The sequence below is a fragment of the Homo sapiens genome, chromosome 9, assembly GCF_000001405.40.
Source record: "Homo sapiens chromosome 9, GRCh38.p14 Primary Assembly".
Classification (NCBI taxonomy): domain Eukaryota; kingdom Metazoa; phylum Chordata; class Mammalia; order Primates; family Hominidae; genus Homo; species Homo sapiens.
In genome coordinates this window covers 68,890,136-68,913,575 of record NC_000009.12, presented here as the reverse complement: position 1 = coordinate 68,913,575, position 23,440 = coordinate 68,890,136, and the positions used below count along the sequence as shown (strand labels likewise).

At 38.9% G+C, this 23,440-nt stretch overlaps 1 protein-coding gene across 14 annotated transcripts in view, besides 1 other annotated feature; it reads right to left on the bottom strand.

The window, feature by feature from the left end:
* Positions 1-23,440, bottom strand: part of PIP5K1B (phosphatidylinositol-4-phosphate 5-kinase type 1 beta) — a 303,937-nt gene that overhangs the window by 95,601 nt on the left and 184,896 nt on the right. For all 14 annotated transcript variants that reach the window (XM_017015189.2, XM_047423951.1, NM_003558.4 and 11 more), the window contains one exon: positions 18,938-19,237. In XM_017015189.2, coding sequence (XP_016870678.1) covers positions 18,938-19,237 — 300 coding nt within the window. The remainder of the gene's footprint in view (positions 1-18,937; positions 19,238-23,440) is intronic.
* Positions 17,278-17,427: an enhancer, noted in NCBI's record as "active region_28442". NCBI's record gives its function as "activates an Ori minimal core promoter by ATAC-STARR-seq in GM12878 lymphoblastoid cells {active_cell/tissue: GM12878}" and the evidence as "EXISTENCE:reporter gene assay evidence [ECO:0000049][PMID:35858748]".

Genomic DNA, 23,440 nt, shown 5'->3' with positions numbered 1-23,440 from the left:
TTAAAAGGCTTCTGTAATGAGAAACTCTGGGAACAGATTTTAGTCACGTACTTTTAAGATTTGCATCAATTAGGAACAAAATAGTTCCGTTACTCATATCATCCCAGTCCTTTAATTAAAAGAATTGATAAATCTGCCAACAACTTAACATGTGTGAGCTTTAAGAGTTAGCAACATTCTGCAACATGACAGACACCAGTTAGTCCAGTTCATCACTCAGGTGCACATTTCCAGAATGTCTGCCTGACCTTACTGTTGCTAGTATATTCTGTACCTGTGCATTTACTATTCAAAACTCAGGTTACAATGCAAATACAGGTGCCTTTCCGTCTAGCTCTGGCAGGACTTTACTTCCCTACTTGTAAAAAAAGGAAACAGGAATGATTCACAGAACTATTTAAAACTGAAAGCAAGTTGGAATACTGCAAGGCTTTCTATTGCCAAAGTCAGATTCTTTCTTCCTTCTCTCTCAAGGACTAATTTAAGTCAATAACAACATTGGAATGTAGTAAAAAAGTCAATGTCAAAGTCAATGTCAAAGCAGCTGCTAGAGTACCCTGAAGACACAATCAAAAACTACCTGTTCTTGAAATGAGAGCATATTCCTCAGGTTTTCATGACTGGTGATGCATGAGTGTTCCTGTAACTTCTGTAGATTTGGGGACCTAATGTGGAAATATCCTAACTCAGAATCATAGGCATTGCCATCCTCTCTTCATGACTAAAGGCTACAAAGAGCAGCTGGTCCTCCTTTTGCTTTTACATCTTTAACACCACATCACACTGCAAACTATCTTCTGTCTTACTGCTAGCAGGAGCTGGTGTGGCTGCAGGGTGGTTCAGTCTCCTTGCTCTGGAACCAGATGGCCTGGTTTGACTCATGGCTCCCCCACTTGCTTGTTTTTGGGCAAAGTATTTAACATTTCTGGTATCTATTCTCACCTGTATTATCTCTATAATAGGGATTCCTACCAAATAATTCCTACCAAAGTTACTGTGAAGATTAACTGAGTTAATCCGTGCCAAGTCTTAGGCACACAAAAAGCACTCAATTAATGTCAGCTATTCATGTTATTCCTCCACCTGCAGAATCGATCCCTATGACCAGCCCACCTTGAATCTCCCCTCTCCCTTAGCTATTGTGCCCTGGCTTCTCTTGGTTCTTTGTCTATTTGACTTTTCCACTTTTTCTTCCTGTGCCCTAAAGATGTTCACCCAAAGCTCTCTGTTTTTTCTACTTTCTAGTACTTACATTCATTGACTCTTTTGTTGGAAAAAAAAATGTTTGAGTGCCACGCACTGTGGAAGTTGATGGATCTTCAGGGATAAAACAACAGATAATTATTCCATACTCAACATTAAACAAGCCCGAATTACACATTGTAATAAGGCCTGGAGGGAAAAATCAGAGAGCTGTGGGAAGATCCCACAGGAAGTACCTACTTTCGACTGGGGGGTATTTCAGCAGTCCAGGTAAGAGAGGGTAATACTTGAATGAGTAGGGGCAGCTGGGGAGCTCGAGGGAGAAGTGGATAGATTTGAGATCTTCTTAAAGGTAGATTCCAATTACCATCTTTCTACAGAAAATTCCTAAATTGTTGCATTTAATCTGACTTCATTCCTAAGCTGCAGCCCAATATATTTCCTTCAGAACATCTCTAAACTTCTTTTTTAAATTAAAAAAATATTTTTTTGAAACAGAGTCTCACTCCATCACCCAGGCTGGAGGCAGTGGTGCAAACATGACTCACTGCAGCCTTGACCTTTTGGGCTCAAGTGATCCTCTCATCTCAGCCTCCCGAGTGGCTGGAACTACAGGCACATGCCACCACACCTGACTAATTTTTTGTGGAGATGGGGTTTTGCCTTGCTGCCCAGGCTGGTCTTGAACTCCTGGGCTCAAGCGATCCAACCACCTCGGCCTCCTAAAGTGCTGGGATTACAGGCATGAGCCACCATGACCATCTAAATGTCTACACATGGCCATGCTATAACCCTAAATTCTTACCTCACTCCAAAGCAGTTCTTTTTCCTCACTTCCCTCTTTTATTTGAAATCATTCTAATGCGATTTCATACTTCATGGCTACTTTTCCTTCACTGAGTCACCCAATCCTGCAGCTTCTATTATCAAAACGTTCCTTCTCTCTAATGATAATGAATTAATTTCAGTTTCCCATTCTTTTTTTTTTTTTTTTTATTTGAGATGGAGTTTTGCTCTTGTTGCCCAGGCTGGAGTGCAATGGCATGTTCTCGGCTCACTGCAACCTCCGCTTCCCGGGTTCAAGCAATGTTCCTGCCTCAGCCTCCCAAGTAGCTGGGATTACAGGCGTGTGCCGCCATGACCAGTTAATTTTGTATTTTTAATAGAGACAAGGTTTCTCCATGTTGGTCAGGCTGGTCTCGAACTCCTGACCTCAAGTGATCCACCTACCTCAGCCTCCCAAAGTGCTGGGATTACAGGCGTGAGCCACCATGCCTGGCCCAGTTTCCCATTCTTTCCTCACAAACCCATTCCTGACATCTGTGCTTGACCAGGTCACATCACATCCCTACTCAAAGCCTTCAGTCTCTCACCACTGCTTGGTGCCAGTGCTTCAATTTGACATAGAAAGTCCTCACTAATATGGCCCTAGCCAATGTCTTTTTGTTACTTAATGCCTGGCTAGAGACATTTGCCAGGCTAGTCTAACTGGAGCTCTTTACCCCTGAATGTGCTCTGAAGATGTAAACTCTGATGCTTCTGCTCATGTCGTTTCTTCTAGATGGTCCTTACCATCTTTTCAAATCCTACTGTTTTTTCAAAGCCTGTCCCCACTCCATGCAAATTTACTAATGATTTCAACAAACTATTGGGATATGTCTCCCCTCTGAAGACCCAAGCACATTATTAGTGTCCCTCTGTCATATAAAATTCTACCTCAGGTTACACCTATATTCTTTGTATCATACACACAAGACTTCATTTCTCAACAAAGACTGGTTTGACTTAGTGCATTTTGCTGTGTGCTCTGAACACAGTAGGAATGAATATTTGTTATACTGCTTTCCACATGTATAAGTAAGTGAAAACCAAAATATTCAGCAATAAAGAATGTAAAACACTACACCCTGTATCTTAAATATAAGAACTTGATACCTGTGCATCATGATTACAATGCCCATGAACAAATTTTTGGCACTAAAAACATTTACTGTGATTATGTGCTCTGTGTTGTCAGAAAAATAAAGATAAAAGCCTACAGTGCTTTCAAACCTACCCACACCATAGGTATTTTATATACACTGTGTCAAGGGCAAAAATCAAGCTGATATTTATAGAGATTCTTTTGATTTACTGTTTAGTAGGCATACAGCTAAATGGCAGATAAAAGGCAAAGTTGTTTTGCTATAAATTAGGCTGAGCTTTGAGTCTAGTAAGACTATCACATTTTTCTTTAGGAAGCCTTTGCAAGAACAGCATGTCACAGGCTTGGTCAACTGTGAAGGCTCTTTAATCATCCAAGAACGCTTGGTGCTGGCCCTAAGATGGAACACATCTCAAGGCCTTCTTAGTTTTCCTGTCCTCTGCTCCCTTGTCATAGGGGTTCTTATGGAAATTAACCCATTCAATACGTATTTTATTGCGCACCTACTATGTGACAGGTACTCTTTTGTTTAAAATTCCTTTGTGCAGTCTAGCAGACATATAATAAAATTAGAACATCCCCATTTTACCACTCCTGATGAATGAATGAGTCTAATCAGTGGTCATCAACAGGTACTAACATTGCAGAAAGAAAGGCATTCTGACATGATGTGCCTCCTGATGAGGGGAGACATCAAATATGAAGTCAGACCTAAATCTGACTGACTCAACCTGTAGGATCCTACAATCCATTTACAGAAAAAACGCACAAGAGAGGAGTGTGTTAAATGAAACAATGTGGTGTAATCAGCAAAATCCAGATGCTCTGGGATAAACAAACCAATATCTTCAACAAATACTTTCAAAATGAAAAAATCAGAGTGACAAGGAACTTAGCAAGTAGATTCTATTTAAATCCTGATCCAAACCACAAAAAGTTGTTTCTGAAACAATTAGAAATTTGAACACTGACATTTGATGATTAGTAAGAATTATTAATATTTTTAATCCATTATAATGGTATTGTAGTTTTTTTTTTTTTTAAAGAGTCCTTAGCTTTTAGGGATTCCTACTAAAGTACATATGAGTAAAATGATGTGATGTCTTGGATGTGTTTCAAATTATATGGGAAGAGAGGCAGTTAAACAAACAAACAAACAAACAAAAAAACCTAGATTGGCCATGAGTTAAAAATAGAGCACAGAGTATATGTGGATTCATTACAATATTTGGTCTACTTTTACATATTTTTATTGTATAAACTTTTCAAAATTAAAGTTTAGCGTGCTATTTTGAAATGCTTAGATAAAATGCACGTCTATACCTGTTTAGCATTAACTTACCCTTTGCCAATGATGAGCTAGAGATGGCAGAGAAAAAAACAGAAATTAATAATTTGGGATCTTAACTAAAGTGGTTAAAGCAGAAAACTTGCTATGTTCCATCTCACTTGATCAATCTTTGATGGAAGATCTGCAAAATAACCAAATTAACAAAATGTGGAGCTGACAGGAAGATGTATCAAGGGTCCTGAGTAATGTTTCCAGTTGGCCTAGAATCTAGTTCCTGAACAAGGAGTTAATGATTGGCAAATACATTTTTGTTAATTCAATAATGTCAGAAAATTCAAAATAGTGTCCTGGAGATTTTATGCAAATAGACATTTCTGAAAATACTGGTTTAGGGAAAAATGAATCCAAGGGCCTGCCATTCCTCACAAAGTAGACCCCTCAGAATACAGTTCTAGAATTCCTTGTATTGTGCCAGTTTAGTTAGAGCCAAACACTTTCTTTTCAATTTAATTAAATTTCTTCAGTAAAGCTCAGTGTTCTTTGCTAATGTCATAATGAGAAAATACAGGCTGTGACAAGCCATACAATTTTGGCTGGCAAAGCAGAATGAAATAAATATTAAATCCTTGTTTTGGCAATAATGTGTTTTTCATGGTGTGTATGCCGTGATTTAGAACTTGGGCTGTACTGGATTAACCTGTACCAAGGCTTTTTTTTTTTCCACACTTAAAAATAGCCATCCATCATTTAAAAAGATTTCATATACATGTATATATATAATGTGTGTGTATGTGTGTGTGTATGTATATATATATATATATTCACCAGCTTCCTATGCTGGATGAATTTGGTTTGTTTTCTTTATAAACACTTCATTTCTTCAAATAAAGATGTCTTCATAAATTATTTTGTAAACAGGTTTAAAAGTAATATTTTATGTTAAAATGTCACATCCTTCTCATTATATGATATATCTTCTTGTTGGCTTTACTATGAATGATTTACTTCATTGTGGCTTAACTGGTACGTCAGCAGAGAGCCCAGGCATAGGCCAGCTGTCTTGTGAGACTCAGAGGCCACACTTGGTCCAAGCACCCACATCCACGTCCATGTGTGAGGTAAAATTCTGGAACCCTCACCACTGTCTGCTACAGCCCACCAACTCTGGTAAACTGCCTTTCTTGGTAAAAAGAAAAAAGTACTTACCCTTCACCTTTCATATTACTCTATGGACAAAGAAAGAGAAGAAGAATGGAAGAATCTGTCCGTGATAAATAAGACCTTGATGGTTTAGACTTAGTGTTTAAACTCTAAGCTTCTTAGAAAAAGGACTACATCCTATTCATTTTTTGTACCTCCCACAGGTCTTAGCACAGAGCCTTCTACAGAGAGAAAATTCGGAACTGTTTGCTGAACAACATGTAATTAATTCGGCAGGAAGGTAAGGCAGAATTTATCAACTGAGATTCCTGTGGTTGTTTAAGGCTAAAGAAAACTGGCTGATCCATGCTCTAGGATTGTTGAAGCTTTCATAGAGCAGGAAAAATCTGAGGCCCGGGAAAGTCACCATCGGTATTGAGAAACAATATCTAAGAACAGCAAGTACCTACAGAGTGAGTTTTAAAAGAAGTGATGGAAAATCCAGGTTCTGAGAATTATCATTAGAAAAAAAAATCATTTGGAGTCTTATTTACTTTTTAATATTTATTTTAATATTTTTTTAAATATTTATTTTAATATATGCACATGATCAAAACTAAAGAAGGTACAAGAGTGGCTCAACATGACACAGTTGAAAGCCACACTTAGCATGAAGGTGACAGTTAAGGCAGAGCTGGAATGCGTGAGTATGGAGAGGCCTGTGGCAATGTTCTCAGCTCTGTGTGTCCACATGGGACAAGGACCCTATGTTTCCAATGGTGCTCACCTAAAAAATGGAGGATAAAACAGGGACAGTTCACACCTACCCTGAGAGAGTTCAACTTTGAATAAACAGAATATTTAACTGGAGGGGTGACTGTCTAAACCAGAAGAGACTGCAATATTACTAACTGATAAGTTTCAGTTTGAGGAAGTGGATGCTAGTAGGGAAAAGGATTCATAGATAATTAAGTAACTACATTTTCCCCGCACATCTGAGTGGACAGAGAGTAAATCTGCAATCTGGAATCACTGCTTTTTCTGGTCTTTGAAAATTTGATTGTAGACCTTTTTCTGAAATTGCTAACAAACTAGAAAAAAAAGTTGGATAGCCAATTCAGAATGAGGAATATCAGAGGATGGAGAATCTCTGTGTCTAAAGAACTCCCGTCATCATTTGAAGAGAGATCACCAAGTGCTTATGAAAATGCAGCAAACACTGAGTTGGTCGTGATAATGGTTTGTCCTTGGAACATCTGGAGCTGGCTGAATATGGGCAAAGTTTACAAATGAGGTCTTTGTGTGGAGAAATGAAGAGAGGAAGTTAACGAGATGTAGAATCATTCCAGCCAGGCTCGCATTAAGGCTGGATGAAGATATTTTAAATAAACGTTCAGTTTTAACTTCTCTGTAGCCTGAGTAGCTATGGACAATTGATCTGTCCAGTGAAGTACATATCCCTTTTAAAACACATTTCTGATGTATACATGTAGAAAGTTCGCAGATGTATCCTTTTTATGAAAAGTTGAATGTTATATATCAATTCATGAATAACAGATTGTCCTTGGCCATTTCATTCTCATGGAGGGAGACATTCCCCCCACGGACATTTTCTACCTTGTCACTTAGAAATGCAGTATTTGAAGGGACAAAAATGAGGAGAGAAGAGTTATCCTTGCTCGATCAAAACACTAAATTTGGCCGAGTACAGCGGCTCACACCTGTAATCCCAGCACTTTGGCAGGCCAAGGCAGGTGGATTGCTTGAGCCCAGGAGTTCCAGACCAAATTAGGCAACATGGTGAAATCCTTTCTCTACAAAAAATACAAAAATTAGCCAAGTGTGGTGGCATGTGCTTGTAGTCCCAGCTACTTGTGAGGCTAAGTTGGGAGGATCGCTTGAGCCCAGGAGAGAAGGTTGCAAGTGAGCCATGAGCATGCCACCAAGCTCCAGCCTGGGCAACAGAATGAGACTCTGTCTCAAAATTTAAAAAAACACTAAATTGAAAAATGTCTTTGAAGGAAGAACACTGGTGATATCAAAGGGACACTCAGTTGCAGGGTAGAAGGGCATGTAAAGAGTGTGGACTGATACTGACAGGGATGAAGAGCCATATACGTGGCCCCAAACCTCTCAGAAGCCAGTATGGGGTGATCTTTTCTGAAAGGTTCAGAACCACTGGATGTCCAAAGTACTTTACTTTTCACAAGGTAATCGTGCAGGCCCTGGTCCTACAGCACCATCGGTACTCCATAAATGTGCCCTGGATGTTGAATGAATAAAATTAAGCCCTATAAAATCAAACTGATTTTACTCTTTATTCTTTAAGCCTAAGTTGAAAGCTTCTGGGAGGAAGACAAGGTCATGTCTGACAGGTACACAATGCACTGGGTAATGTATCACAAGGCACATTTCTGAACCATTTTTTAAACTTTGTAATATTTTCCTAGACCTTGGAAACTCTCAAATATGCCTTAAATCTCTGTAACTCAGTCCCTCACTAGCTTCCAGAAGTTCCTCCCAAGGTATGGAGCCTCAATTCCATTTTGTAAATCACCAGGGTTTGCTGCCCCTAACATCTCTTTTGGATTGGCTGTTGGCAACTCTGCCCTGTTTTGCATCATGATCTGTATGACTGGCTTACGTCAGAATCCACAACCAGATCCACAGCAGCCAACCTCAAAGCCTTTCCAGATACATCTTCAAAGCCAGAGTTGCTACCATCAGGCCCCGTGTGGCCACTTCCCCTTCCTGCCATAGCTTTCCTCTCTGCACTCCCAGGATTCTCAACAGGGAGGAGAAGAGGGGTCCTTGGGGGCATTTCCTTCCCTTTGCTCCCTCCCCCAAATACTTTGTGGGTCTTTCCGCTTGGGGCCTATATTGACCTTACTCCTACACTTAGGGTCATCTAATCAGAGACCAGTAGGTTCTTTTTACAAAAAAGCCAGAAACTCTAAGTAGTAGATATAACATTGTTCTATTTCATAAGCCCAAAGATTTTAGCTCTCCTTAACTTGAATTATTGCATATATAAATTTCTGTGGGACAAGTTACTTAAAATGAAAACTTGCTAGACACATAACAACAAACTCAGGAAATGCTTCAACTCTCCAATCTTTAGGTAATATCTCTTTTAGGAAGAAAGGAAAAGGAGTTTATTTCTTAGAGCCGAGGAAATTACCTTCAGTCTCCCATTTTCATTCTTTCTATAGAAATTTTGATAATACTTTGGTTTGCAGTGAGAGTTTAAAAAAAAAAAAGCAAACTACTGACTTGATAATCCTTCCGTTTCTGTAGTGAATCAGAATTCTCAAAAGCTGCTCACACAGGATTCAACGTCACACATTGAGTCCCTAATCTCCTCCCCTGCAAGATTTCAAAAACAATCAACCCCCCTGTAACCGCTGCATTGCTCAGAAGGAAGCCTCGCTTTTAACTTAATAGGATTTCGTGTGCATGCACATTGGTAACAGTTGGCAAATGTCAATGGGCTTGATTATGCTTTTCATTAAATTTTTAAAATTAAATGTTTGGATTATTTATTTTACTTTGTGTTCCTTAGTCACTTGGCACTGTGTTCCTTCCTTGAAATAGGCTGCAAGATTTCATGAACTCATTGTCCTGTCCAAACCAAGCTCTCCACTAGGATTGAGCCCTTTCCTGACTCCTACAGCATCTGCCCCTGTATCTCCTTGTCAGAGTTAGGTGACCAGTCATTGAGCACTTCTAGCCCATGCTGCCTATATCTGTCCATGTTATTACTTAATGTTTTCATTTCAGTGGCCTTACCACCATTACACACAAGCTCCTTAAGGAGAGTGTAATGATGAAAGAACATGGGTTTGGAGTCAGAGAGACCTGGGTATAAATTCTGGATGCAGCACTGTGAGCTCTGTGGACCTGCGGAAGCTGAACCTCTCCTGAGGATTCACTTCTTTATCTGTCAAAAGGTAATCATACCACTCACTTCACATGGCTGTTGTGAAGATGAATGAGAGAACCTATATGTAATAGATTGTCTGGCTCAAAGTTTAAATAAATGTTACCTGAACCAACCCACAGATAAAGTAAGCCTTGGAAATGCATCCTTATTGTCCATGCAATAAAGTATTATGTATTGTATTGTATATACGTATTTGATGATTACATATTACATATGATTTGTTTTACATGTTAAGTTACTTTGGTATCTATAGGTTATATCCAAGATGGAACCCTCTCTCCACCAAAACCCAGAAGAGCATATTCTGTAAAATTTGGGAATTGTCTTACTTAGTAGAAAGTCAGGCATGAACAACAGCATAGAGTTATTTTGATTTTTGTAGCTACCCTGACACTATCTTGCATGGATTATTGTGTTCCTTCTGTTGCTGCCAGCAGCTCATTTCCATTCCCTACTTTCAGCAGAACTAAGCTGCAGCAAGCGGCAAAAGCCTAGACAAACACCAGCCCCCTCCCAAGACTACTGAACAGTTGTGGTGTATGGATGGTCTTCAATGGCGACACCAGTTGCCACCTAAATAAAAACTGAGAGGATGAAGAGGTCAACACAGTTGCAATTTAGTAATTCACTGGCCTTTAACAGACCTTGGACAAATGAGCAATACAAATGTACTCCAAACAATTAATCCACAAATTCACAATGTTGACATGATTTACCTTGGTTCTTTCCAGACAAACCATGTGTAGGTTATTACTAAAACCTGCTTTTATTATGTGCATTGACTAGGTAAGATTCACTATTCCAAGAATGTTTGCTGTTGCTATTTCCTAGGCTTCATCAGAAGATTGACACCAAGAGAAATGCTGTGTAAGAACTCTCGAGTGAGCTAAGACTGGGAAAATGAGGTTCCACAGTTCCCACAGAGCAGATTTTTAGTAGCAAACGTTAAACATGTAATCAAGTAATTACAATATAATGAAGCAACACCAATGGCTGTAGAATAGATTTAGATGAAGTCTCACAGGAGTGCTTATTATTAGAAACACACACGTTAAACTCCTGTATCGCAGGCCTTTTCTTAGGAATCTTGTCAGTTGCATAGTCTCACAGGCATATCACCAGGCACTAAACTTAACCACTGAGTTTTTCCGCTTTCTTTTCACCACTCTTTTCTATATCCCCAAACTGCTTTATTAGATTTATCTTTAGCTTTTCTGGGGCATATACTCAAGTAATTTTTTAGCAAGAGACTTAAATACACACTTACCAGAGTGGCTAAAATAAAAAATAGTGACAACAGCAGATGCTAGTGAGGAAAAGGAGAAAAATGGATCATTCATCCACTGCTGGTGGAAATGTAAAATGGTGCAACCACTCTGGAAAAGAGTATGGCAGTTTCTTAAAAAATTCAACACGCACTTACCATATGACATAGAAATTGAATTCAGGCATTTATCTCAGAGAAATGAAAACCTGTGCTCACGCAAAAGCCAGTATACAAATGTTCACAGCAGCTTTATTTGTAACACTCAAAAACTAGAAAAAACCCACATGTTCATCAGCGGGTGAATGTTATAAACTGTGATACATCCATACCAAGAAATATCACTCAGCAATAAAAAGGAGCACATTACTGATACAGGCAATAATTGGATGAATATCAATGGCATTATGCTGAGTAAAAAAAAGCCAATCTCAGGGGTTATATACTGTATGATTCCATTTATACAGCATTCTCGAAAAGATAAAATTACAGAGATGGAAAACAGATTGGTAATTGCACAGGATTAGGAAGAGTTGTGAGGGAAGGAGGTAGCTGTGGCTATAAAAGGGTACCATTAGGCATCTTTGAGAAAGAACTGTTCTGTACTTGACCAAGGTGGTGGTTATATAAATCTATGTACGTCTGAAATTGCACAGAACCTCCCCCACCACACATGTGCATGTAAAACTGGTGAAATCTGAAAAAAGCTGAAAAACGTCAGTAGGTTGTACCAAAGTCAATTTCCTCATTGTGATACTGTACTAAGGTTGTGCAAGATTGTGCAAGATATTACCACTGGGGGAAACTGAGTGAAGGGTGTATGATATCTCTCTGTGTTATTGCTTCCAACGGCATGTGAATCTATTATCTCAAAATACAAAGTAAAAAAATTTACAGGTAGAAAAATTTACAAAGCCCTTGCATATATGATATGACATCATTATTTCTGTTCTCACAATAAAACCTGGCTTGGCTAGGTAAGTCCAAAATCATTTTTTCTAAGACCAGAGAGTAGAAGGCATTCTTTTACTGTTTCTTAGGAACTCTTAGGATTCCTTCCAACTCGAACAATCTTTGATTCTATGAGTTGGTTTTATTTGTTCACCAACTTTAACTTTGCTTTATGCTTATACTGCTATGATATCAAACTATTACAGATAGCCAAAACTCATAATTTTAAGACAATGGAGCAAATCAAATATCTCATGGGTTTACAGTGTTTGTAAAACACACTTTGAAAGACAGTGGATTTGGCTGGGCATGGTGCTTCACACCTGTAATCCCAGCACTTTAGGAGGCTGAGGCAGGAGGATCATTTGAGATCAGGAGTTCGAGACCAGCCTGGCCAACATGGTGAAACCTTATCTCTACTAAAAATATAAAAACTAGCGGGGTGTGGTGGTCCACACCGGTAGTCCCAGCTACTTGGAAGGCTGAGGCAGGAGAATCCCTTGAGCCTGGGAGGCAGAGGTTGCAGTGAGCCGAGATTATGCACTACACTATAGCCTGGGCAGCAGAGTGAGACTTCATTTCAAAAAACAAAAACAAAAACAAAACAAGTAATTTAGGAGTGTGGAGTCAATGATGTCCCTGCACCCTTTTCATGTTTTGATTGAAGTCTAAAAACAAAATCGAATTCCTTATTGATGAGAGGATAATTTAAATTGAAGTATTTCTACCTTCAGGATATGTACGTCTCCTTTGTATTAGGTCTAAAGCATTTTTTCTTCCCCAGTGATAACTGAGAAGGCAAGCAATATCAAAAAAAGAAAATAAACTGTCTGAACAAAATGTAAAAAGTTTACTACCAGCAAAATTATAGCTGAATGGTAAGCAATAGCCATAATGTTAAATATTATATAAAATAACCCATTTTGTAACCCATGCAAACATGCCCATAGCTGTTAAGAATCTGATTCATAAATTCAGAACTTGCCTTACATAGAAAGACCCTTCTTTGCACATCAGAAAGTTTCAGTATTCTTGAGACTGGTTTCATTAAATTCTGAGAACCTATTAATATTTATGGTTACAGTCATTTGTGTGAAAAAAGAAAATTGGTTCCACACTCTTTAAAAATTAATAACATGCGGCTCAACAAAAATTATAATAAATGTAAAATAAGTCATTAGGTCATTAATTATCAAGACTGTCTCTGAAATGACTCTCACTTGAAGGATTAAAAATATTTGGGTTGTAAACACAAGTTCTCACTAATATACTTTGTCTCAAAGTCATTTCCCAGAGTTATTAATAAATATTTCAGCATATAAAAATTTATCAAATTAATTAAATGATATGGGATTCTAGATTTTACATAGATAACTTATATCAGAGAAAAAATAATCATGGTAAATTACAATGAATACAAAAATAGATCCTAATTGTTCTTTTAAAATTAATATATACATTTTCAATTCAAAAGAGTTTTCAATCACAATCTTGCAACATGTACTGAGTGTATAGAATAAGCCAGGTGCTGCAGCTGCAGAGAGGTGTAAAGAATGAGCTTTGCCCTTTGAGACATTTAAAGTCTCGCTGGAGAGACAGTACATACACCTAAAGAAGACAGGGGTCAGTGCTAATAAAATAAAGTCCATATTCACAATAGCAAAGACATAGAATCAACCTAGATGCCCATCAACAGTGGACTGGATAATGAAAATATGGTACATACGCAACACAGAATACTATGTAGCCATAAAAAGAATGAAATCATGTCCTTTGCAGCAACATGGATGGAGGTGAAGACCATTATTCTAAGTGAATTAACCTAGTAACAGAAAACCAAATATTGCATGTTCTTACTTCTAAATGGGAGTTGCACATTGAGCACATGTGAACATAAAGTAGAAAATGACAGACACAAGGGCCTACTTGAGGGTGGAGGGCGGGAGGAGGAGGGTAGAAAGATGGAAAATTTACCTATTAGGTACTATGCTTATTACCTGAGTGATGAAATAATCTGTACAGCAAACCCTCATGACAATTTACCCATGTAACAAATCTGCTCATGTACCCCTGAACTTAAAATAAAAGTTGGAAAGAAAAAAAGTCTAATGACCATTTACAACATTGCTTCCATGGGAAAACTCACTGCAATATAAATGTACTTTTGTTACACAAATGACTCTTGATAGGAGGACAACCAGTACAACTTTTCAAATAATCCCAAGTGATTCAAAATGGAGATAATCTACTTTATTAAATTCTCAGTGCAATTTTTGGCAGGCATTGCAGTGAAACTGGATACTTCCTCCAAAATAGGCAGAACTTAAAAAATAGCTAGATACACAAAAATCACCAAAGACAGGTTTCTTACCTAAACCTTTCTTTCTCTTTTTTTAAATCATTAGACAGCTGATTATTCCTCTGTTCAAATACATATTCCAATAAACACTTACTAAGTACCTACTAAGAACCAGGCATGTAGATATAAAGATAGATTAAGCCTTGCTCCTCAGGCTCCAGGATTTACATGTGAAAAAGTAACAGTGTATTAAGTCCCATGAAAGAAGTAAGCCCAGGATGCATGGGGAACCACAACAGCACGGTCTTGGAGGAACTGATCCCTGAGTAGTCCTGAGACGAGCAGGTGAGGGCCAGGTGTAGAAGAGGGGAAGAACGGTCCAGCAGAGTGAGGCATGCATAAAAAAACCAAAACCTTTAGAGAATGTGGCCAGTAGATTAGAAGAGCTGGAGAGTGGGGATCTGTATCAGAGGAGAGGGGAGAGAGAAGGCTGGAGACAGAAGCTGAAGAACGCATCTGGAGAATGTAGCAGGGACCAGATCAGGAAGGATATTAATGTTCCAAGCTGGGAATCACTGGCTTTCGCCCAAAAGCAGTGGGGAACCTTGGCCAGAGAGTGTTAAGTCTTCTGATCAGAGGATCAGTCTGGCAGCAGTGGTGGGGATGTGATGGAAGGCAATGATAATGAAAACCAGCAAAGAGGCTACAGCAAAACTCCAGGTGATGAATAACCACGGTCTCAATAAAAGCAGTGGCTGTGCCTACAGTGAGGAGGGGGCAGAGCCATGAGTTATTTGGTAGGCAGACTGGGACATGGTGATTTTACTGCATGCAGGGAAAGAGGGAGAGGAGGGAGGAAGGAGTAGCTTCAGGGTGCAGATCTGGGTATCTGGCTGCACGATGGTCATGTTCCCTGGGTCACAGAAGACTAGAAGAGGTGCAGGCCTGGCGGAAGATGAAGGGGTACCTGGGATGAGCAGTTTTCAAATAGGACACGCATCTCAGCTTGTCTGTCACGTGGGAGCCATTGGGGATGGTTTGAATAAATCCTGCTTTCTGGTTTTGATAGCAAGTGATCTGTGATGTCTTTGTAGTACTCAATGTCACCACTCTTTCCTTGGCTCAAATTAACTTGTGGGTATGGATGGCTGTGGCAGTGAGCATATAGAGGGTCAGACCAAGGGATAGGAAAGCCTTCAAGAAAGGGGACTCATCATTTACATATCCATTTCTCCCCCACCACACACAGCCAATGGGGAATAGCAATGTGGAGATGGGGTGCAGAACCTGACATCTGGATGCCTGCTTTTGGAAAGAGCCCTCTGATCCTGTGGGGGAATTGGGCTCAGCAGGGTTGAGGCATAAAAGAAGATCAGTTTTCTAGAATAGTTCCAAGTGGCCAATGTGCTACATGGAGGAGTTGGTCAGGAATGAACCATCCCAAAGGGCAGGCTTATTATACACAGGGGTCTGGGACTGGGCTTGGGGAAGCCAGGCAAAGGGACTCAGGGGCTGCCACAAGGATGCCAGGAGAAGATGGTATGTGTCAGGAGGACTCAGTGCAGGATGAGGCTGTTCAGGTCTTTTCAGACGCAGAGCTCAGAAACGGCAGCTCTGATTGGCAGTCAGGGAAGCAGTCCATGGGGAGCAGGGAATAAGCTAGGTCAAGCTGGCCCTTCCGGCCAGCACTCATGCTAAAGGAAATAGAATTCCAGGGTCTGAGATGTCAAGCCAAAATATGAAAGGAGAGGTGGGGGCGCCAAGAAGCAGGGGGAGGTCAGCCATAGGTTAAGAGGCTTAACAAATCCGTCTGGGAACAACAAAGAAGCTGGGGTCCAAAGGTCTGGGATTCTTGGATTTGCTACTGCTAAGTCCTTAAGAGCTCCCTGGCACCACCAGAAAGGGTCTTCTGACAATATGTGGCTCTCATATTATGTGGCCACTTTCCTCTTCTACCCCACATGCTCTCCCTATTAACTGCCCCAAAACCAAACAACTATAGCTCCCGGAACACATTGTGCTATTTCACACCCATTGTTTCATACCTATTGTTCTCTTATCCTAGAAATATGCTTCTACTGCTTTGCCTATCCGGAGAAAGCTTCTCATCCTTTAAAAGCAAGCTACAATGTTCCCTACTCTAATCTTCACAATATAATATCATTGCACATACTAGACTGTATGGCAATTGATAAAAAATAAAGGTCGTGCACCTCATGCTTGGCATGTAGTGTGCTTGCAATATGTGCTGATAAGTGAATAGAAGCATATATCCTAATATAGGTTTAGTTCACCTTTCTCTGCCTGGGGTGCTGATACAGTAATACATTTCTCTAACTGGTTTGTTTCTAGAGCCTTAGCCATACTGTCTCACAGGAATTTTAGCAGAGGAGATTCCTGATTGATAGGTGCTGGCCTCAGCTCAGACTAACCTTGCAGACCCTCTGGGTCTCTGCAGCCCCTCAGCCAGCACTGAGGCTCAGCTCTGCAAAGCAAGGGCAATATTGGGGCGATGTCAACCACATATCCTATTGCAATCATCCAGTGAGTTGGCCTTTCAGAGGATGACCTGAAGAGAGAGAGAGGTAACTCTAGGAAGGGGATTCTGAGCCTTGGGGAAGAAGGAAGGGAAGGAACAACGGGCTCCAAGAGATTCACGATCCATCACGAGGATGGGCATTTTTTGGGGGGAGGAGAGTTCACAGCATTCATACGATTTACTAAGAGGCCCTTGACTATTAAATATTAATATTCACCATTCCAGAAATAGGCTTTCCTTGAGGCAGCTCTGCTCAGAGCACCAGCTGTTGAATCCAGATCCCAGAGGACTTGGTCATGGTCAGGACAGATCAGGGAAGGGAGCTGAGTTCCCCTACAGCTCAGCATTTACACACTCCCATACCAGCCCAAGAGAAGCCTTTCTGAAGGCAGATGTACATATTTTGAAGAATGTCCAGGATCTGTGTCTTGTACAACTGCAAATGCAGTGAGTAAGAGGGAGTTAGCCTCAGGATACCTCTACCTTGACCTTTATGTTCCTTAGAACAACAAACCTGCCAAAGAATAAAAAATAAAAAGGCAAATCTCCAGGGTCTCACTTGTGATGAAAAGTTTGGTTTGACCTCGCGGTCTCAGTCCTGAGCTCAGGAAACACTAATAAATAGACAAATCCTGAGCAATGGCTCTTTTACATTTGCTTTTTTTTTTTTTTCTGGCAGAGAAGCATGTGGTATTAGAAGGCAGCAGATAAAGGCTTTCCATACTAAAGAGGCAAGAAGCACACAAAAGAGAAAGCAAACTTAAAACTGGAGAGGCTGACACTAAACTCTGGGGAATTGAGAGTCACTTTTTACCCACATCCTGTAAAGGGCAGAAAAAACACAGGAAAAAGATTTCTACTAAAATATGTGTGTTCTGTTTTTACGTTTTTTGAATAGAAAAACATGCATCACTCAAATCCACTCAGATATCTGAATATCTGCTGGACGTTTTTTGTTCGTCTGTTTGCTTGGTTCCTACTGCTCCTTCCCTGACTTCTGAAAAGATAATTAAAAAAAAATCCTCAGAGTGAGACTTTAAGTTTTAGTTGTTAGAAGCACATGCCTTTGTACCCAAACAGATGTGGGCTCTGTCATTGACTTGGTAAGTAATGCTGGATAAGTTTCTGAATCTCTTTAAGAACCCAATTCTTCAGCAATTAAAATGGAAGTATGAATAGTACTGACTCCAAAGAATTGCTGAGAGAATTAAGTGAAATGATGCATTAAAAAAACCTTAGACTAACCTGGCATACTGTAAGCATTCAATAAACGGTAGCTAAACAATAGGAGTAACATCTCTGTCAATAAAGAAAAACAATTCTAAGGACACATTTTTGTGCACAATCATGCAAGCTATAACAGGCAGAAAGGAAGAAATAAAAAAAAAAAAAACAGAAACAGTAGACCTGTGTTCCTTAGTGGAAATTCCCTACTTTATACCTTAGAAGGGGTGTCAGACTGTCTTCCTCACCTTCACGTGAGTTTGGGTCTGGCAGAGAAGTGTCTCCCCTCCCCTATAACAACATGGGTCATCCGTCCAGGCCCATGGAAAGTGCAGAAAACCACAGCCTGTGCCATCATGCTTTCTGCCCACCTCCACTACCCAACTTAGCCAAGTGGCTGGACGGTTCTCCCATGATTATTATCCTTCAGAAGTTATTAGCACTGCATTTTTCTTTTCTCTAAAAAAATTTTTATCTCTTTTCACCATGTTAGAAAAAATCTTCCCTTAGTTTTTTTTTTTTTTTTTTTTTTAAAGCATTGCAGCCTGGGGGAATTCCTCCCCACTTTGGACAATCACTCCAGCTAAGTTTGCATGGAATGGTGTCTGCCCTAATTGGCAAGCTTCATTCCTGCTCACCTCTTATTCAGACCACATAAAATAATTTCAGCAAACGTGCTGCTCATATCATAGTTTTGCATCCACACTGATCTCTAGGGAGCCATTATTAATCCCAAGTACATTTTCTTTAAACTTGTCTCCCCAGTTCGAGTCTTACTTCTTCCAAGATTTCTATACGGCTTTTCTTACTCAACACCACATTAAACCTAAATTCTATTTCTTTCTAGTTAAACTATCTTCCCCACAGCGGAGAAAGAAAAGAAAACAAAGCTTTCTTGTTTCATTTTATCAAAGAAAGCTGACTTAGCTTATTAGTAAAATCAACAGAGATGTAGGTTAAGGACTCTAGATAACTCCCTTATCATCTACCAATTCCTTCAATATCAGGGAAGCATGGCTCAGCGCCAGGATTGGGAAAGATAGGATTCCACATGTCTGCCACTTTGGACATTCCTTATTTCTATGCTTTCAATAAGTGGCAGCCACAGTTTACATGAGCACAGAGTTCAAAGGAAATCACAACAATCAAACTTCCTTACCCGGCAGTCTCTCTGAAGTGTTTTCATAAGCGCGTTGTATGTTTCCGTATCAAAATACAACCCTTCGTGCATGTCTTGCAGGAAATCTAAGTCCTTAAATGTGGGGTTGGATTTCTCTCTCTCTTTACGGGATGCTCTTCGCTTATACGTTGAGCCTTTCAAGTCATATGTAAAGTGCATTCTCATGGAGCGTGGCAAAACGTTGTTCATCACCACAATCCTGATATTAATGCCTCCTGATTGCATACAATACAGTCCGTAAAATTTTGGCAAAAGAGTCCTTGGATTCTGGTTTAAATTCTAGAAACCAAAAAAAGAAAAATATATTTACAATCTTCTATTTTGACAAAATAATGCTCCACTAAAGATGTGTTTTCATGCTGATATAATAATTAAAAATGGGATGTGATTATCTTTATTAATGTTCATTACTAAAATTTTGCTGTTTCTAATCTATTTCTTAAGTCTGCTTACTGGACAGCAATTTTATTATTCTAAACTCAGGGCAGTGAAAGTGACTGGATTGGACATAATGTCCCAAATTGGCTCCAACTAAAAACAGGCAAGGAATTGACTGGTGCCATGAGTGACTATTCTCTAAGGTAGCCAAAGAGAAAACGAATTGCCAAGGTATGAGGGATGAACATTTAAAATTTTAATAGCTCCTGCAAAACTGTCTTCCAAAATGGCAGACCAATTTACAACCACACTATGTAAGACTGTACATAGATTTTCCCATTACTCTTACCAGGGCTGAATAGTACCCAAACTTTAAAATCTTTGTAAGCATGATTAGTGAAAAATAGAAACCTGTTTTTAAAAATTTGAATGCCATTGATTACTTATGTATTTTTAGTCACCTTAAAGATAATTTTGCTCATTTTTTTCTGCAGGTTTTTGTCACTGTTGAAATTCTTGATATACTCTGGATATTTATCATTTCTCTCATCTATATGGGGTAGTTTCTTCTAGTCTGTTGTCTTTTTTATTATTTAAAAAAACAGGGAGGCTGGGCACTGTGGCTCACGCCTGTAATCCCAGCACTTTGGGAGGCCAAGGCGGGTGGATCACGAGGTCAGGAGTTCGAGACCAGCCTGGCTAGCATGGTGAAACCCTGTCTCTACTAAAAATTAAAAAATTAGCCTGGCCTGGTGGCGCATGCCTGTAATCCCAGCTACTCGGGAGGCTGAGGCAGGAGAATTGCTTTAACCCGGCAGGCAGAGGTTGCACTAAGCCGAGATCATGCCACTGCACTCCAGCCGGGGTGACAGAGCGAGACTCTGTCTCAAAAAAAAAAAAAAAAAAGAAAAAAAATAGGGAATACATGCCTACTTTTGTTCCCTTTTAAAGTAGATAAGAAATTAAAATAGTTTACAAAACGGCATGTAGTCAATGAAAAGTGTCTCTGCTATCCTTGATTCTTCCCCCAATTCTCAACATTTGAGAAAACCACTGCTCTCACTTTATTTCATTCCAGAAATATTCAAGGTGCTTATATTAATTTTGTGTCTGGTATTTTTGGTTATATAAATGTGTTGCCTTAAATTTTTTTTTTTAATTTTTTGAGAGACGGAGTCTTACTCTGTCACCCAGACTGGAGTGCAGTGGCATGATCTTGGCTCACTGCAACCTCCGCCTCCCAGGTTCAAGTGATTCCCCTTCCTCAGCTTCCCAAGTAGCTGGGACTACAGGTGTGTGCCGCCACACCCAGATAATTTTTGTATTCTTAGTAGAGACAGGGTTTCACTATATGTCGGCCAGGCTGGTCTCGAACTCCTGACCTCAAGTGATCCTCCTGCCTTGGCCTCCCAAAGTGCTGGGATTACAGGCATGAGCCACTGCACTTGGCCTAAATGTGTTGCCTTTTGATGTGGTCATGTTTATTTACTTGTTTCTTATTTGTGTGTGTGTGTGTTTGCTTTTTGCTTTTTGTTTAACAAAGCTTTTTTATATCCCAAAGTCATAAACTTTTATTTTCTTCCAAATTTTTAATAGTTTTGGTCATTACATTTGGTCTTTACTCCATATGGAATTAATTTTGTGTGTATGTGAAAGATCTGAAATAGAGAATTTAATTTTTTCCTCAAATGGATACTTATTGAACAGTCTGACATTTTCCAATTGAGTTTAAATCCCTCCATGTCAATACAGTAAGTAGACAAATTCACATAGATCTATTTCTGGACACTTTATTTGAATCCATTAATTTATCTGTCTAAAACTGTACTCATCCTACATCCTTAACATTAGTTACAGCCTTATATATTTTTTGTATATGCTATAGCAGGCCTACTATTTTTCTTCTTTTTCAAAAATGTTTTCTCCATTCTTACAATCTTTCTGTGTGATTGTTCATTTTAAAAAACATTCTTCAAATGAGACTTGCTCTCACTTTCAAAGAAATTGGCTTTGTCAAGCTATGTGAAAAATCCTATTAGAATTTTTGCTTGGAATTAGACTGGATTTATAAGTTGATTTGGGAGCAGTTGAAATCTTTACAATACTGAGTTCAGGAACAATGCAGATTTCTTCATTATTTCAGATCTTCTTTATGTCCTTCAATAACGTTTTGTAGTTTCCTTCATATTGGTCTTGTAACATTTGTTTTTATAGATTCAAGTATTTTAGAATTTTTCTTATTACATTCTTTCTGAACTGATTGTTTATGTTTTCCACTTACTATATCTTGCTTTCCCAATCAGAATTACAGTACTCACATGACTTTATTTACTTATTTTTCTAATAGGGTTCATTATAAGTTGTTGTCATCATGAACAGGATCTCTTTTTTCCCTTATATTCTCCCACTCTATATCATCTATATAATGGAATATAATGGATTTTGTAGATTTACCTTTTATCCTGCAAATCTGCTGGAGTCATATCACTTCTAAAAATTCCTGATTTACTTTCATGAGCAAAATGAAGGTTTGCTCATTTTGAATTCTGTCATTTAAAGAGAACAGTGCTTGTACTTTTTTCTATTTCTTTTTGTACTCAAGACTCAGTGCCAGAATTTCTAGCAAATTTATCAGAAAGGACTATTGATGGGAGGGGCACTCTGGTCTATTCCTATTGTTTCTAGAGAAAGGATTCTTGTATTTTTCCATGAGCTATCATGTGAACTTTTGGAAGACTGATAAATGTACAACTTGTATAATCATTGATTTATTTATCATTTTTTAAAAAAAAAAAAACTCCCCTGCCAATTTTTAGAATTTTAATTAAGTGAAGATGTTGAATTTTGAGGGCCTTAGCTTCTCCTCAACATCTATTTGGGTAACCACGTGACGTTCACATTTTTTCTTGTTAATGGGGTGGATTATATTGTTATACTAGCTTACATAATTGGGATAAAATCACTTGTTCAGCTAAATTTAATTTTTCTTTGATACAGGGTTTTGCTCTGTCTCCCAGGCTGGAGTACAGTGGCTTGATCATAGTTCACTGCAGCCTCAACCTTCCAGGCTCAAGTGATCCTCCCACTTCTCAGCCTCCCAAGTAGCTGGGACCACAGGTGCGTGCCACCATGCCTGGATAATTTTTTATTTTTTTGTAGAGATGGGGTTTCACCATGTTGCCCAGGCTGGACTTGAACACCTGGGCTCAAGTGATCCACCCACCTTGGCCTCCCAAAGTGCTGGGATTACAGGTGTGAGCCACCATTCCTGGCCCTTAACTTTTTATCTAATTTTAATTAAATATAAGTAGTCAAATATGGCCAATGCAGTTTTACAAGAGGACAAGTATATCTGAGCTCAGAACTATGGAATTTTAAGATTTACTAATTAAGCAGGTTATCAAATAATATTATATCAATTTGATCCTAATTTTAGATAATTTTAAAATGTGTGCATGAACAAAGAATAACTGAAAGCATATACACCATATTTTAGTAATATGTATCTCTGGGAAAGAAACTATAGTTAGTTTTTTTTTTTTTGGCTTTTCTATATTTTCTGTTCCTCCAAAAAAAAATAATTGCTCAGTATTGAAATATTTTAAAATCTGCCTGCATGCCACTAAGATTTTTATTGAGATTTTTTATTTTTATACTTCTATATGAGATTAATTTAAGTATTTAATGCTGTGTCTAGCAGATTTTGGAATTAAAATAATATTTTTACATAAAAAGATAACATGGCATCTGATGAATGCATTTTTAAAAACAAAGATGATATTTATCACCACTCATAGCAAGTGATTGGCAGAACTTGGGCTTCTGAAATCCAGACAGCTTCATGTAGCCCTTCCAATCATAGAAAATTAAGAACTGTTATCAAAGTACAATGAAACTGGAGGTATGAAAATGCCTGGACTATTTAGGAACAGTGGGGATAGTTTTGAAAATTTTGGAGTAAACGTGTAGTAAATCCGTCTAGGCTAAGTTACTGTTCCTTTGTCTCTAAAATATTACATGAAAGGTGATTTTTCACACTATCACATTTACCCATGAAATTCTAAATTCTGAAGTCTAGTAGCTGAGAACAGCTAATATAGAATA